Source organism: Homo sapiens, chromosome 11 (genome assembly GCF_000001405.40).
Source record: "Homo sapiens chromosome 11, GRCh38.p14 Primary Assembly".
In the NCBI taxonomy this organism is placed as follows: Eukaryota; Metazoa; Chordata; class Mammalia; order Primates; family Hominidae; genus Homo; species Homo sapiens.
In genome coordinates, this window is record NC_000011.10 from 3,104,810 (window position 1) to 3,119,735 (window position 14,926).

The window sequence follows — 14,926 nt, forward strand, 5'->3', positions numbered from 1 at the left end:
GGTTATTGTAACATTTCTTTTTCTGTTTTTGAACCACTTTATTGAGGTCTGATTGATATACAGAAGCCTTCAGATATTGAATGTGGACAACTGGGTGAGTTTGGAGGTGAGCCTGCTCCTGCAAAACCGACACGGGCATGTGAACTCACCCCTCACTTCCGAAGCCTGTGTGCCCCTCACGAAGGCCCCCTCATCTCTTCCTTTTCTGAGACATCTAACCCTCACCACAGCTCCAGAATACATGACTTGGGGTGGCGGGGCTCCCCTTACTCACTCCAGACTTGCACCTCACCGCAGCCCCAGGGAACGGGGACCCTGGTCCTCCCCCTCCACAGAGGGGACAAGTGACTTGTCCAAGGTCACACGGCTGCTATGCGGCAGAGGTCAGATCTGAACTCAGGGCTCTCTGCATTTTTAGCCCAACGGCAGCTGCCCCAGGGAGCGGGCAAGATGGAGTGTGGCCTGTGAGTCCTGCATCAGGATCTCATCCCCGCTGCTGGGACTCCTCAGGCAAATGGCTTCGCCTCTCTGTGCACGCATGGCCACGGACAGATCCTGGTGGCACTGGCCCAGTGGACAGTGTGTGTGGACACCCAGGAGCCATGTCTGACCCCATGAGGGGTCATGGGGAGCCCAGTGCTGTAGCTTTGGGGCTTGGAAATCATGGGTAGCTTCGGCTGTCAGGAATCCTGCTCTGTCCATGTGCTCCCGTCCCGTCCTCCTTAACCCTCTCCACCAGGCTTCTGCCGTCTTCTCTACTGAGACTGTCTTGCCGTAGGTCCCCACCACTCCTCACTGGTCCAGCAGCCATCCCTGCTTCTCATCCTGCCCCACCTCTCGGACCAGCTGGCTCTGAGACACCTGGGCTCCTGGATCCTCCCACCTCCCTGCCCCACCTCTGTGAAGCCTTATCTGTGCTCGGCCTCTGAAGGTTGGGTGCCCGGGCCCCTTGGCTGCCCGCTCCATGCCCTCTGCCCGGAGCCCCAGGCTCGCACCTGCAGCAGCCCGCTCTGCCTGGCTCACAGCAGCGTCGCTCATCACCATCTGGCTGAGATCTACCCAATCCAACTTCCGAAATACCCTGAGTCTGCCCACTTCTCCCTTCTCCATCACAGCTGGGTCCAGGGTGTCCTCAGCTTTCTCCTAACAATGGGTCTTCCCTACGGGTGGCCCAGTGTCCACCCCCGCCCCTCGGCTGTCCCGAGGCCCTTGCCTAACCCGCCGGTGGCTTCCCCAATACTCTCAGCCTGAGGCCCCCAGGGCCCTCGGTCCACTCCCCATAGGCCCATCCTAACCTTCCCATCCCCGCACAGGAGCCTGAGCTCTGTGGGAACAGCAGCCCGCAGGGAGGCCATGGTGTTCCACTGAACACAAGGATTTCACGGACCACGGAGGAGCCCCCTCTGTCCCTGTGCAGAGCAAGATGCGAACACGACGCTGTCCAAACAACAGCAAGGAACGAATTCCCCTTTCCTGCTGAAACCGGGACTGCCCCTTGCCCTCAGTGACAGCCACGGCCTTGCTCTTGTCTCGCCTCCCGGGTGAGAATGACAAGATCCCAGATCACAGAGCCCCCCGTTCCTGACAGCCCCCACCCCAGAGCGCAGCCCCCACCCCAGAGCCCGGCTTCCTCAGCCTGCACCCGTCACCCAGCGGAAGCTTAGATCCTGTGATTCCTTCCGGACTCCCCTTCCTGAGGCGCCCCACGGTGCCCAGGGCCACGTGAGTTCTCTCCAGCTGCGGGGAGTCAGCTGCCCTGGCTGTTCATCTGCAGGCATGCTCTGGGGACACTGCTGCCCACCGCCTGCTGCCTCCCTTGAGCTCGTGCGCTGGTGGTCCTTCTTCTTGGAACGCCATCCTCCCTCCCGTCACTCACGTCTTCAGAAAGAGCCCATGGCCCGGTTTGCCTCCCTCACCTGCTCCCCAGCCTCCTCTTGTGTTTGTGGGTTTATCATCTATGTTTCCTGCTGCCCATACACTGGGGGCCCAGAGCCCAGGTCTGTCTCATTCATGGCTCTCCCAGGGCCCCAGGAGAGCACCAGGTGTGCAGGTGCCTGTGAGCATGGGACTCAGGTCCACACGCCCTCCTCTGCGCTCCTCCAGGAAGTGGGGCCGCCCAGCAGATGGGGTCAAGGGCCCCTCTTGAGCCTCCTGTTCTCCCATCAGCGCATTCCAGCCCAAGGAGGGAGTTGCCTGTCTGCAGCAAACCCCTGCCCGATCCCCGCATCTGCATGCCAGCCAGCCAGCCAGCCAGCGGGGCAGCCTCTTTGGAAGACGGGAGGAGCCTGTTTACCTAAAAGACAGCTCCTGGACTCACTGCCAAGTGATGGGGACAAAAGCTACCCCCTGGGCCCTGCGTGCTCCCCCTAGGATGAGGCATGGCTACCTCTGCTTCCGGAACAAGGGGCCGAGGCAGGGGAGACGCTTGGGGCTCCTGGCTGGGGGGCTCTCACCTCCCCCAGCTCCTCCTGGACCTGCTCCACATAGGTGGTCCCTCTCCGCACCGGGGCCCCAGGGGTCTCTGACTGGTCGCTGCCACTCTCCGTCTTCCGGCTATGGTCCTGGGTCTCGGTATCTGACTCCTCAGGGTTCTCTCTCTCCGACTTGTCTGAGAATGCATCGTTCTCCAGGGAAGACCCGTTCAGTCTGGAAGGTGGATGGTGCCAGTGGGTCCCTGTCACAGGTGAGAGCCCAGCACAGCCCTCTGGGCTGCCCACCCCTCGCTGCTCCGCACTTCACATACGTTCCTGCCTGTCGTCACCTCCACAACCCACATTTGACACGATCAGCCCCGTTTTAGAGGAAGGAACCGAGGCTCCCAGGGCACACTGCAGCGAACAAGTCCCTGCGTGCAGCCTGCAGCCCACCAGAGCAGTGGCTGGGGCTGTCCTCTCCCCTCTTCCTCGCCTACAAGGAGACCCCGTGAATCACCACCAGCCCCTGTGCCCTCGCCCCACTCACGGGAACAGGTCTTGGTCTGGGTGGACGGTGGCTGAGGCTGGCAGCCCACAGAGCGATGAGGGTGATGCGTCTGGCGAGGTCCCTGGCTCCCCGTCTCGGCCCGGCTTGCAGGTGCCCAGTCTCAGTAGGCTAGAGCAGCGCAGGGCCAGCTCCAGGGCGTCCAGCCAGCAGCGACCTGCGGGGCACACGGGATGAGCATGCCCCACCCCCACCTCTGTATATCCCGCATCCCCCAAGGGGCCACCAGGAGGCTCCCCCTCACTCTGACTCTTCAGGGACCCACCCCCTCCATCCCAGACCCACCCCTGGCCCTGCCCCAGCAGGGACATGCCCTCCCTTCCTGCCCCCACATCCAGCTGCAGATTGTGTGGGGGCAGACATCGGGAACCCCTGAGGATTGAGGACTTCCCAAGGAGGCAGACCCGGCCTGGGGACAGGTGTGCCAGGGGAGGCAGCCCTGCAGAGGCACCTGGGGATGCTCACAGCACATCCCCACGCACCTCCACCACCCACATTGCTGACGAGGGGCTGGCATAAGTGACCCCTCCAGGTCACAAACCCAGAACACTCGGAACCAGCCTCCCACCCTGATGGCCACCCACAGGTTTCTGCAGGTGGAGTTAGGGAGGAGGGTCCTCCCTCACTGGGAAGCACTGGTCAGGGTGCCAGGGGCTCCTGCCAGCCTGGAGTCCAGGGAGGAGGGTGGGGAAGGCTGAGGAGGGGCTTGCACACCAGGGAGGAGACCTGCCTGAGGCCGCCCAGAGGCTCTGTGGGCAGCGGTGGAGCAGGGGCTGGTCGACAGCTGGGCGCCTCCAAGCCCCACTCTGGGCCCTGTGCCCTGCTGCCTTCCTAAGCAGGGTGACAGCACCACCCAAGGGTCCTCCTGTGGGGCACGTGTCCACCTGGGTGACACTGATGTCCTGGTGTGATAACAGCGGCCCCCGCACTCAGAGGAGCATCTCGTGGTGGCCTGTGACAGGTCACACTATTAATAAGGTTTTTGTTTGTTTGTTTTGAGATGGGGTTTTGCTCTTGTTGCCCAGGTGGGAGCACAATGGCACGATCTCAGCTCACCGCAACCTCTGCCTCCCGGGTTCAAGCGATTCTCCTGCCTCACCCTCCTGAGTAGCTGGGATTACAGGCATGCACCACCACACCCGGCTAATTTTGTATTTTTAGTAGAGACAGGGTTTCCTCATGTTGGTCAGGCTGGTCTCGAACTCCCGACCTCAGGTGATCTGCCTGCCTTGGCCTCCCAAAGTGCTGGGATTACAGGTGTGAGCCACCACACCGGGTCAATAAGTGTGTTTTTTGTTTTTGTTTTTTTGTTGTTTTGAGATGGAGTCTCGCTCTGTCACCCAGGCTGGAGTGCAGTAGGGTGATCTCAGCTCGCTGCAACCTCTGACTCCAGGGTTCAAGTGATTCTCCTGCCTCAACCTCCCAAGTAGCTGGGATTACAGGTGCCTGCCTGTAATTTTTTTGTATTTTTAGTAGAGATGGGGTTTCACCATGTTGGCCAGGCTGGTCTCAACCTCTGGGCCTCAAGTGATCTGCGTCGGCCTCCCAAAGTGCTGGGATTACAGGTGTGAGCCACTGTGCCTGGGCTGTTAGTAAGTGTTATTCAAAGAAAGCCTCCTGGGGTCACGTCAGGTGGGAGGATGGGGCTGAAGAGCATTGAAGGCGGTTCTGTGCCTCTCTGAGCCTCTGCCTTTTCGAGCTCCTGGAGACAGTGAGTTTTTCTCCCTCACTTTGAGATCCATTAAATCCTGCTCTTCGTGGGGCATCTCAGGGTCCAGTGTAGGGAGGGGCCTGCCTAGACAGTGGCTCCTGGGTCTCTAGAGCTGCCCTTCTCATTGGGTTGGGGGGATATCTGGGATCCTGCTGGTTCCACTGCAGGCTTGGTTGGTGCCAGAGCGGCCAAGCCTGGGCGGAACACCAGGGTTGGGGGAGGGATGGCAGTGGATGGTGGTGGGGAGCTGGAGGGGTCACAACTGCCGAGTTGGCCCCAGGGCCTGAACACGTGTGCTTTGTAGCTGCCACAAAGGACTAGACATCCTGAATATTATGCATCCTTTGAAGCTCATTCCGAGACCTCTTCCTCCTCTTCCTGGAAGCCCACCCTGATACCCACAGGGGCTGCAGACACCTCTCCTCCCGAATGGTGGCCCACACCCTATCAGGGGCTCAGCTCACACCTCAGCCCAACCTGCCTTATCTGATGGTTGGTTATCCACCTCACCCAGGAGCACAGAGGCTGTGGGCTGCCCTGGCCATCCCCGGGCCTGCATGGGACCTGGCACATAGTGGGGCACTCAGGATGGCCCAGGAAGGAGCATGGATGTGGCATCTGACCACCAGGGGTGATGTGGCACCGAGACTCCAACCTGAGAGGCACCGGAGCCCCGTGGTCAAGGCCAGACTGCTTTAGGTCTGCACCACCGGCGGGATGGGAGCCCTTCACCCCACTGCTCTGGGAGGCATCACCCTGGGGTTAGAGGAGGTGGAGCAACCGCATTTACCCAGAGCAGCCACTGGAGGGCGAGGTGGGGTAGGGCCCCAACCTCAGGTTAGAGGGAGGAACGGCCAAGAGGGAATCCCTCCAGGTGGAGGATCATCGCAGTCACAGCTGCCTGAGCGGCCACTCAGGGAACAGCAACAGCGTGCAATGCATTTGGGAGTCAGGGAAATTCTCGTTCTAGCACTTTCTTGCTGGCAGTTTGCCTGTGCCTCAGTTTCCTGACCTGTCTAATGTGGATGATAACAGTAGAACCTGTTGTTTCAATGGTGCCTGGTGTGAAAGGAAAATCTTGGGCCCCTCAAATCACTAAGCTAAAGGGAAAAACCCAAGCTGGGAACTGCTTAGGGCCAACCTGCCTCCCATTCTATTCCAAGTCACCCCTCTGCTCACTGAGATAAATGCATATCTCATTGTCTCCTTTGGAGAAGCTCATCAGAAACTCAAAAAAATGCAACCATCTTTCTCTTATCTACCTATGACCTGGAAGCCCCTCCCCGCTTGAAGTTGTCCCGCCTTTCCAGACCAAACCAATGTTCATCTTACATATGTTGGTTAATGTCTCATGTCTCCCTAAAACCAAACTGTGCTCTGACCACCCTGGGCACATCGTCAGGACCTCCTGAGGCTGTGTCACAGGTAGGCGTCTTCAACCTTGGCAAAATAAACTTTCTAAATTAACTGAGACCTGTCTCAGATTTTCAGGGTTCAAACATTTTGGTAACCACTGAAGGATTCTGAGTGGAGATGCCCCTGACTTTTCACAAGTCTCCTATTGGTGCTTGGTACCAGCTTGAGCTAACTTTATGGCTCAAACCAATAAGACAATTTGCTGAGGCCTGGAAGCACCTCCCCCCGTGCCCCACCCCCACCCCCTGCCACAGAGAATCCCTGATCTCTCAAAATTTGGTCGAGATCTAAAGTTTATTTTGTTTTACAACTTCTCTTTTTGGAGTTTTACTTGCTTCCGATACAAGGAAGGCAAGTTTTCCCTGCTTCCATGACGATGGAAGGCAGGTAACTCCTTTATGGAGTTCGAGCTTGCTTCCAACAGGGAAGATGAATTTTTTTTTTTTCCTGCTCCCAGGATGGTGGAGATCTGAGTTTTCAGCCTGAGACCCATCCCTAGGGAAGTAACTGAATTGTGGTTTGTCTTAGCTAAAGTTAAGATTAACAACCAGCTGGTCTTAATTTCTCCTTACCATTAGAGCACTCAGTGATCACGTAAGTTGTGCGATTGTTTGTTTCGCTTAACTGTTTTTTTGTTGTTGATTGTTTCTGTTTTTGTTGTTTTGGTCTTTTTCCCATTGACCTCTATCTGGCTTGATCAAATCTGAAGGAAGTTCCAAATTATGGGGAACAAGGCCTCTGAAGTGGCTGAATTCCCCTCCCCACCCCCACACACAATGGTGGCGTGATGGGGGGAGAAAAACGGCCAGCAAAAGGAAAAAAAAAAGAGGAAAGATTTTGATTTTGACTACTAAGGGGCTTTATTCATATAACAAGGCCACATTTTCACTAGCTAGGCCAAACTGAAAGAGTAATGACTGTACTTCTGTGTCCTCGTTGAAATTTGTCCTAGTTGAAATATGGAATGAGATTTAAAAAGATTTTTTCAAAGAAGCTCAATGGTTAAAAGTCAGTTTAATGAAAAGCTAACATCCAAGCTGTGTGTGTGTGTGTGCATATGTGTGCGCGCATGTGTGTGCATGTGTGTGTGTGTGCGCGCATGTGTGTGCATGTGTGTGTATGTGTGCGCGCATGTGTGTGCATGTGTATGTGTGTGTGCATGTGTGTGTGCATGTGTGTGTGCATATGTGTGTGTGCATGTGTGTGTGTGCGCATATGTGTGTGTTTGTATTTAAGAGACCTTCATGTTTCTGTTTTTGTTTTTCTCCTAGGACCTTGTCTTTTTTTGAGCAAAAGGGTTTTTTCTTCTCAGTTGACTGAATTCTGTTTCTTGATTTACTTCTGCTGTCTCTCCTTTCTCTTGCACCTTCTGCCGCATGGGGGACCTAAAATAGTTTATAGTAGCCTGGGGTTCCTTAAAGAAAATGGAGAGGGTGCCAGACTCCCCTTGGGGGAGAAACTTGTTTTTTCTTATGAAACCCCAAGAATGTAAACAGACAAGTTTGTCTCAGCTCTTAAACTGCTTACTTTTGTATTGTGTAACCTGTTTTGTGTTTTCTTTTCTTTTTTTTTTTTTTTTTGACTAAAGTAGTTATTGCAACAGTGGTTACTCTTGGGCTTTTAAGGAAGAGTGTGGTTTAGACACTTAGAAATGTCTTTGTTTAAAAAAAATTTGTAAGTGCACTATAAAAGCATCACGTGGTCTAACCTCATGATAATTCTCCCTTTCTGGAGACCTAGGATTCAGTGTGGGCTCTTCCCAGAGCTCAGAGATCCAGTTAAATGATAGGTAGTCCCTACTACATAAAATTGGTCTCCTTATGCAATCCTATGATAGATTTCTATAATTTTGTTTGATTTGGCATCCATCTTTAGTCTCCCTCTAGCACCACCAGACTTTTTCTCTCTGTACCTTATGCAAATTTTGCTATTTGATTTTCACCTGAGTTGTTTCCCTTAATATGCAAATTTAAGGCTATTTAGCTGACAATTGCCTAGGGTTGTGAAACAGGTTATCAAGAATCTGAAAGTCTAAGACAGGAAAAAAAAATTTTTATAAACCTATGAGATGTACTTCTATTGCCATGCCTAATATGTCTATGTATTTATGTGTCGTGTACACAATGTTTCACTACTGAAAATATATAAAAGGGCTCTAATTGATTGGCTTAAGAAAGTAAATGCACTTGAATCAAATACTTGATCAGGAAAAAAGAAAAGACAAGTCAAATGCTTTTTCAAGTTTATGTAACTTAAATAAAATCTTTAATAAATAAGCTAGCTTTAAAATTATTGGTAAAGTAATATTAGAAATGTCTTAAGAATTGCCAGCATATATTTTTGTTTGCATTTATTAATCAAGCAATTTCATACTTATCCCTGCCAAATACCATGAGGTGTCAAAATTTGGCATAGGAGTTACGAAACTATAAACCCAGCCCAAGACAGAATGATCTTTGCTTGTGTAATCTTTAATAATGCCTGTAATCTCAGCACTTTGGGAGGCTGAGGTGGGTGGATCACAAAGTCAGGAGTTCAAGACCAGTCTGGCCAACATAGTGAAACCCCATCTCTACTAAAAATACAAAAATTAGCCAGGTGTGTTGGCAGGCACCTGTAATCCCAGCTACTCGTGAGGCTGAGGCAGGAGAATTGCTTGACCTGGGAGGCAGAGGTAACAGTGAGCCAAGATCGCACCACTGCACTCCAGCCTGGGAGACTAGAGCAAGACTCCGTCTCAAAAAAAAAAAAATTTATATTGGTTTAATAAAAATAGCTACATCTTAAATTTAGTAAGATTACCATAACTTCTAATCTGGTGGCTTTAGGTAGTCTAGTCCACAGGCAGTAAGGTTCATTTTGAGAAAGACTGTTATAGTCTTTGTTTCAGGTAAACTATAAACTAAGTTCCTCCCAAAGTTAGTTTGACCTATGCCCAGGAATGAACAAGGATAGCTTGAAGGTTAGAAACAAGATGGAGTCAGTTAGGTCAAATCTCTTTCACTGTCTCAGTTATAATTTTGCAATGGTGTTTCCATAATTTAAATAATGACAATTGCAGTTTTTATAAATAATCTAGGTAAATGATTAAAATAATTAGGTAAATGTAATAGGACAAATACTTGTAGACAAATTCATCATAATTTAGAATTTAAAGTTAGATTAAATAAGATATTTCACTATTTGGATATTTTCCAATAAAAATATATTTGTAGGAAAATATGCTTTCTAAAAGAAAGCATGTCCTTTTGAAAAAGGTGAACAATTTTTGCCTAATTCAAAGCTTATTTAAAGATCATGTATAAAACAAGGTAAAAGGAACCAGGAAATAAAAGAGTAAAAGAGATGTAAAGAAAGTTATAAAAAAGTGTTTTTTGGTGGAGAGTAAGAAAGCTTAAAGAGAAATAATTTCATATGAGAAAGAATCTTGTATGGTAAATTTAGTCCTAGAGTAAAATGACTGGTTGTTTAAGAAAGAGGGATGTTCAGGACAAACCAGAAAGTCCAAGCGTGGCATGAATGGTCTATGGAAGTCACAATAAGAGGATCTATTAAAAAAAAACCCTTTTATATGATCAAGTTGTCTATGACTAAAGGGAAATTATAATGGTCTTTCTAGAGATTGGGTTTGATGTAAAAAAACAGTTATAGACTAAAGAATTGGTTAGAACAATGATTTTTTTTTTTTTTTTTTTTTTTTTTAGACAGAGTCTCGCTCTGTTGCCCAGGCTGGAGTGCAGTGGCGTGATCTTGGCTCACTGCAAGCTCCACCTCCTGGGTTCACGCCATTCTCCTGCCCCAGCCTCCTGAGTAGCTGGGACTACAGGCGCCCGCCACCACGCCTGGCTAATTTTTTTTTGTATTTTTAGTAGAGATGGGGTTTCACCATGTTAGCCAGGATGGTCTTGATCTCCTGACTTCGTGATCCTCCTGCCTCGGCCTCCCAAAAGTGCTGGGATTACAGGCATGAGCCACCGCACCTGGCCGACATTTTCTTAAGAGGTTGATTTACTCTTAATCAATTATAAGATATTTTAATTTTTTAATTTTAACCCAAAGTTCAACTTTCATTGCATCTTGCCAGTTTCAGTTTTCTCTTCCCTCTTAAAAGGAACAAAATAGTAACACTTCCCTTCAACTCATTTTCAGCTCATATAAGTTTTGTTTTCCTCCTCAGGTTCTGTTTTTTTGTGTGTGTGTGGCCTGATGCTAACAATGTTTTCTTAAAGAAAATGTTTTCTTCTAACATAATATTCTATACACTGCAGAAGGTATTTGCTTTTGCCTTTTGGTAAGTGGCCTAACAGATTTTATGTTTTATCAAAATAATTCCTATGCCATTATTATTAAGTTTGGTTTGCTTAGGAAAAACAGATATTAAAATTTTTTTTAAATCAAGGTTATTCCGTCCTTATATCTTCTTGTATGTGCTTTTAAAGTCCTTGCGACATTGAGTTACAGGGATTTGACTCATGGGTCTAAAAAGAACACCAAGTCCTGCTAAATTTTAAACACTGACAGCAATTAAAGCTTCATCTTCAGGCCCGGTAGAAGATGCCAATCAAAATAAACCACATTCCTGAGACACAGAAATTAAAGCTGTTCAACTCCTCAAGGCCCAGAGACTATCCCAGAAGAGATAGACATGTGAGATTGTAAGGGCTGACTTTGAGAGATAAAGTAAGTTCAGTTCCTCTATAAATTAATCATTAATGTCAAAGGCACACTGATGCAAGACTAGCATATGGGCCCCTGTGTCAGATTAACAAGGTTTTCTTGAAACAATAACTGACTCCTTAATAAAGGTTATAAAGGCTTATGGAAGTTATATCTTATGATCAAGATGAAAATTTTATAGATTGGAATTTTGGAAAACAATTTAATTGGCTTCATGATGTTATTAGGGCTTATTGTTTGGAAAACTAAGTCTCCTGTCTCAAAGAATGAAGGCTTTTGCCTTTTTTTTTTTTTTAAATCCTTGAGGTATCACTTTGTTCAAATGAGTGAATTATTTTACAATGACTTGTAATCCTACTTTGTAATATCAAGTGTTTTAAACCTTTAAAATTTGACAAACTTTCCAAAATCAAATTATAAATTATGTCTTTTTCTAACCTAATCCTTGAAGATATTATTAATAGGTTCCCTAAAGTCCAAAAATGACATATTTGGCTTATTTGGTATAAAAAATTATACAGGAAGCAGTGTCAAATATAAAATGGTATTTGGTCTTCTTTGGGCTATATTTGTACAAATATGTTACTGGTATGTGTTCCAAAATTATAGGAAACTCCTATAATTCTGATATGACCTAATATACATTATCAGTAATGATTATAATTGTTATGTTAAATTATTTTGTGCCACAGAGGTAACAATTTCCTTGTCAATTGTGTCTTTGAGTATGGCTGCCCTAAAACTTTTTATCATCCACAAGCAATCATTGTCTTGTTTTGGTCCTCTTTAGAAGGTGGTTTTATAATCAGCTGTAAAACTCTAACAGGTGCTCTTGAATGCTGGTTTCTGATAACTTTAGAGACTGTGACATCAGAATAGAGGAAAAACTTTCAGGGTTCATGGAGAGCTGAAATGTTCATAAATTTGAAGCAGAACAGGAATTAACTGCATGGACTAAACTAATAGAAGTGTGAAGTAATTGCCAGGTGTGGTGGCTCACGCCTGTAATCCCAGCACTTTGGGAGGCCATGGTGGGCGGATCACTTGAGGTCAGGAGTTCGAGACCAGCCTGGCCAACATGGTGAAACCCCATCTCTACTAAAAGTACAAAAATTAGCTGGGTGTGGTGGCGGATGCCTATAATCCCAGCTACTTGGGAGGCTGAGGCAGGAGAATTGCTTGAACCCAGGAGGTGGAGGTTGCAGTGAGCCGAGATGGCGCCACTGCACTCCAGTCTGGGCAACAGAGTGAGACTCCATCACAAAAAAAAAAAAAAAAAAGAAGTGTGAAGTAATCTTTTTGACTTTTTGCTTAAAACATTGTGGATCCTTTCTTTTGTTTTTCAGAGTCAAGAAAACTTTAAGCTATTTACAGCTTTTAACAATTGAGTATACTCCTGTGAACAAAATTTGGAGCATATTTGTTTCTCTCTACCTAATTTTTACAGAATTTGAAAACTATCTGTGAGTATTCGTAACTTATGACAATACAGTTATTTGCATAAGTGCAGTAAGAATCTGTTTTCATTTGTAACAGGACACAATCGGAGAAATTGGTTATTTTACCAAGGCTTTGCCTGGAATGATGTGCTTTCCTTTAAGGACTCAAACTTGACTTATGGAACCAATGAAAGCCCCTTGGAAAAACTGGCCTCATACCTCATCTACACAGTCCCTGTACAGGGTTCCTGACCTGTGGTAAGTAAAGAATGTCACTTTCTGACAGGCCCAGGAGCTCCAAATTTATCTTGGAACCTCAAGAAGATAATAATTCGCCCAACTTATAGGTGTTTAATGGTACAAGTCCATGACTGGGCTCAGCTTTAAAAAAGTCTTATCTGAGATTCTTTCTATGGAACAAAGTTCCATCAAAGACAATTTAAAAGCCTATGTAAAAACTAATTACTCTTGCTGCACTGTATATAAATAATTAGTCCAAGTATAATAAAGCAAACCAGTCCTACCATAATTTGTCCTTAGTTAAAATGGGAAACTGGAGAGAAAAAATTATGTTTCAAAAACTATAGTACAGCTGTTGTTAGATTCTACTCTTCCCTAATGTTTTTCAATTTTTGTTATTTTCTGCACTTTGGATGAAATCCTAATTTTTGTTGGCTATAGGTCTTCAAAATAATGTTTTCAATTTTTTTCCTTCATTTTTTTCCCATTTTTCCTAATTTGGAGTCGCTGAAGACTAAGCTGTGCTTTCTTAAAGCCCTGCAAACTGAAACTAGACAACTTAAACTTCAGAAGAAAATAACAGCAACCTACTTACATACATAAGCCACTTTCTTGCCTGCCTACTGATGTATGGACTTCAGAGTAATGTGGCCTATACCAATTTCCCAGGATTGTTCTTTTGTTTGTTGTTGTTTTTCTGCCTTCCTCCTACTATTTTCTCTTCATAGGACATGAGACTTCACAGCCTTCTGAAAATGAGCTTTCCTAATAACTTGGGACCTACCTGTGTAGGAATAAACCATCCTAGCCATGAGAGATCAGGTGGAACCTGAGACCAGAGACTCGTTTTCTTCTAAAATGCTTTCTCCAAAAGATTTTTAAAAAGGGGGGAAATGTGAAAGGAAAATATCTTGGGCTCCCAAAATCACGAAGCTAAAGGGAAAAGTCAAGCTGGGCACTGCTAGGGGCCAACCTGCCCCCCCATTCTATTCCAAGTCACCCCTCTGCTCACTGAGATAAATGCAGATCTGATTGTCTCCTTTGGAGAGGCTCATCAGAAACTCAAAGGAATGCAACCATTTGTCTCTAATCTACCTATGACCTGGAAGCCCCCTCCCGGCTTTGATTGTCCCGCCTTTCCAGACCGAACCAATGTTCATCTTGCATGTGTTGACTGATGTCTCATATCTCCCTAAAATGTATAAAACCAAACTGTGCTCGGACCACCTTGGGCACAAGTCATCAGAACCTCCTGAGGCTGTGTCACAGGCACGGCCTCAACCTTGGCAAAATAAACTATTTTTTTTTTTTTTTTTTTGAGATGGAGTCTCCCTCTGTCACCCAGGCTGGAGTGCAGTGGTGTGATCTTGGCTCACTGCAAACTCTGCCTCCTGGGTTCAAGGGATTCTCTTGCCTCAGCCTCCTGAGTAGTTGGGATCACGGGCACCCACCACCATGCCCAGCTAATTTTGTATTTTTAGTAGAGACAGGGTTTCGCCATGTTGATCAGGCTGGTCAAACTCCTGACCTCAGGTGATCCACCTGCCTCAGCCTCCCAAAGTGCTGGGATTACAGGTGTGAGCCACTGCACCCGGCCTGGCAAAATAAACTTTCTAAATTAACTGAGACCTGTCTCAGATGTTTGGGGTTCACACTGGCATGTGGTTGGAGCTCAGTAATTGTTATATGGGTGCTTTTATAAGGTCACTGGGTTCTCATAACATTGGGGTGACAGGTGGTTTTTTTTTTTTCTTTAAGACGGACTTTTGCTCTTGTCACCCAGGCTGGAGTGCAATGGCACCATCTTGGATTGCTGCAACTTCCATCTCCCGGGTTCAAGCAATCCTCCTGTCTCAGTCTCCCGAGTAGCTGGGATTACAGGCGCCTGCCACCACGCCTGGCTAATTTTTGTATTTTTTAGTAGAGTCGGGGTTTCACCATGTTGGCCAGGCTGGTCCTGAACTCCTGACCTCAAGTAATCTACCCGCCTTGGCTTGCCAAAGTGCTGGGATTACAGGTGTGAGCCACCACGCCTGGCCTTTGACAGGTGGTATTTTAATGTCACATTTTACTCATGGGAAAACTGAGGCTAGGCATGGGGGCTCTGTGAGTGTAGGCCTGACTCCGAGCCGGGCTCATCCTGGCCAGACTTCAGGCTGCCCCCAGACAGTAGAAGGGACTGAACTGGGGCCACCTGTACCTGGGCTACAACCTCAAAAGGGGGCCCACTTCAGGTGGGGGCACTGGGGAGATGCGCAAGCTGGCAGGGACTCACCATCTGACTCGGAGGCGGCCCTGAAGATCAGGTAGCTGCTGGGCAGGGGCTGTGTGATGGAGCCCACGCTCTCACCTTTGGGGCCCTGGAGAGAGAGAGATCTGGGTGTCACCCGAGGCAACACCCAGGGCCAGCTGCACAGATAGGTCAGGCAGAACCATGCGGATCCACACCTGGGACCACCTGGAC

General features: G+C 47.9%; 1 protein-coding gene across 5 annotated transcripts in view, besides 1 other annotated feature; it reads right to left on the reverse strand.

The window, feature by feature from the left end:
• OSBPL5 (oxysterol binding protein like 5) overlaps positions 1–14,926 on the reverse strand; it is a 78,204-nt gene that overhangs the window by 17,703 nt on the left and 45,575 nt on the right. For all 5 annotated transcript variants that reach the window (NM_145638.3, NM_001144063.2, NM_020896.4 and 2 more), the window contains 3 exons: positions 14,738–14,822; positions 2,962–3,136; positions 2,454–2,646 (listed from right to left, as the gene is read on the reverse strand). In NM_145638.3, the coding sequence (NP_663613.1) occupies positions 2,454–2,646; positions 2,962–3,136; positions 14,738–14,822 (453 nt within the window). The remainder of the gene's footprint in view (positions 1–2,453; positions 2,647–2,961; positions 3,137–14,737; positions 14,823–14,926) is intronic.
• Positions 5,366–5,425: a silencer, noted in NCBI's record as "silent region_3075". NCBI's record gives its function as "represses an Ori minimal core promoter by ATAC-STARR-seq in GM12878 lymphoblastoid cells {active_cell/tissue: GM12878}" and the evidence as "EXISTENCE:reporter gene assay evidence [ECO:0000049][PMID:35858748]".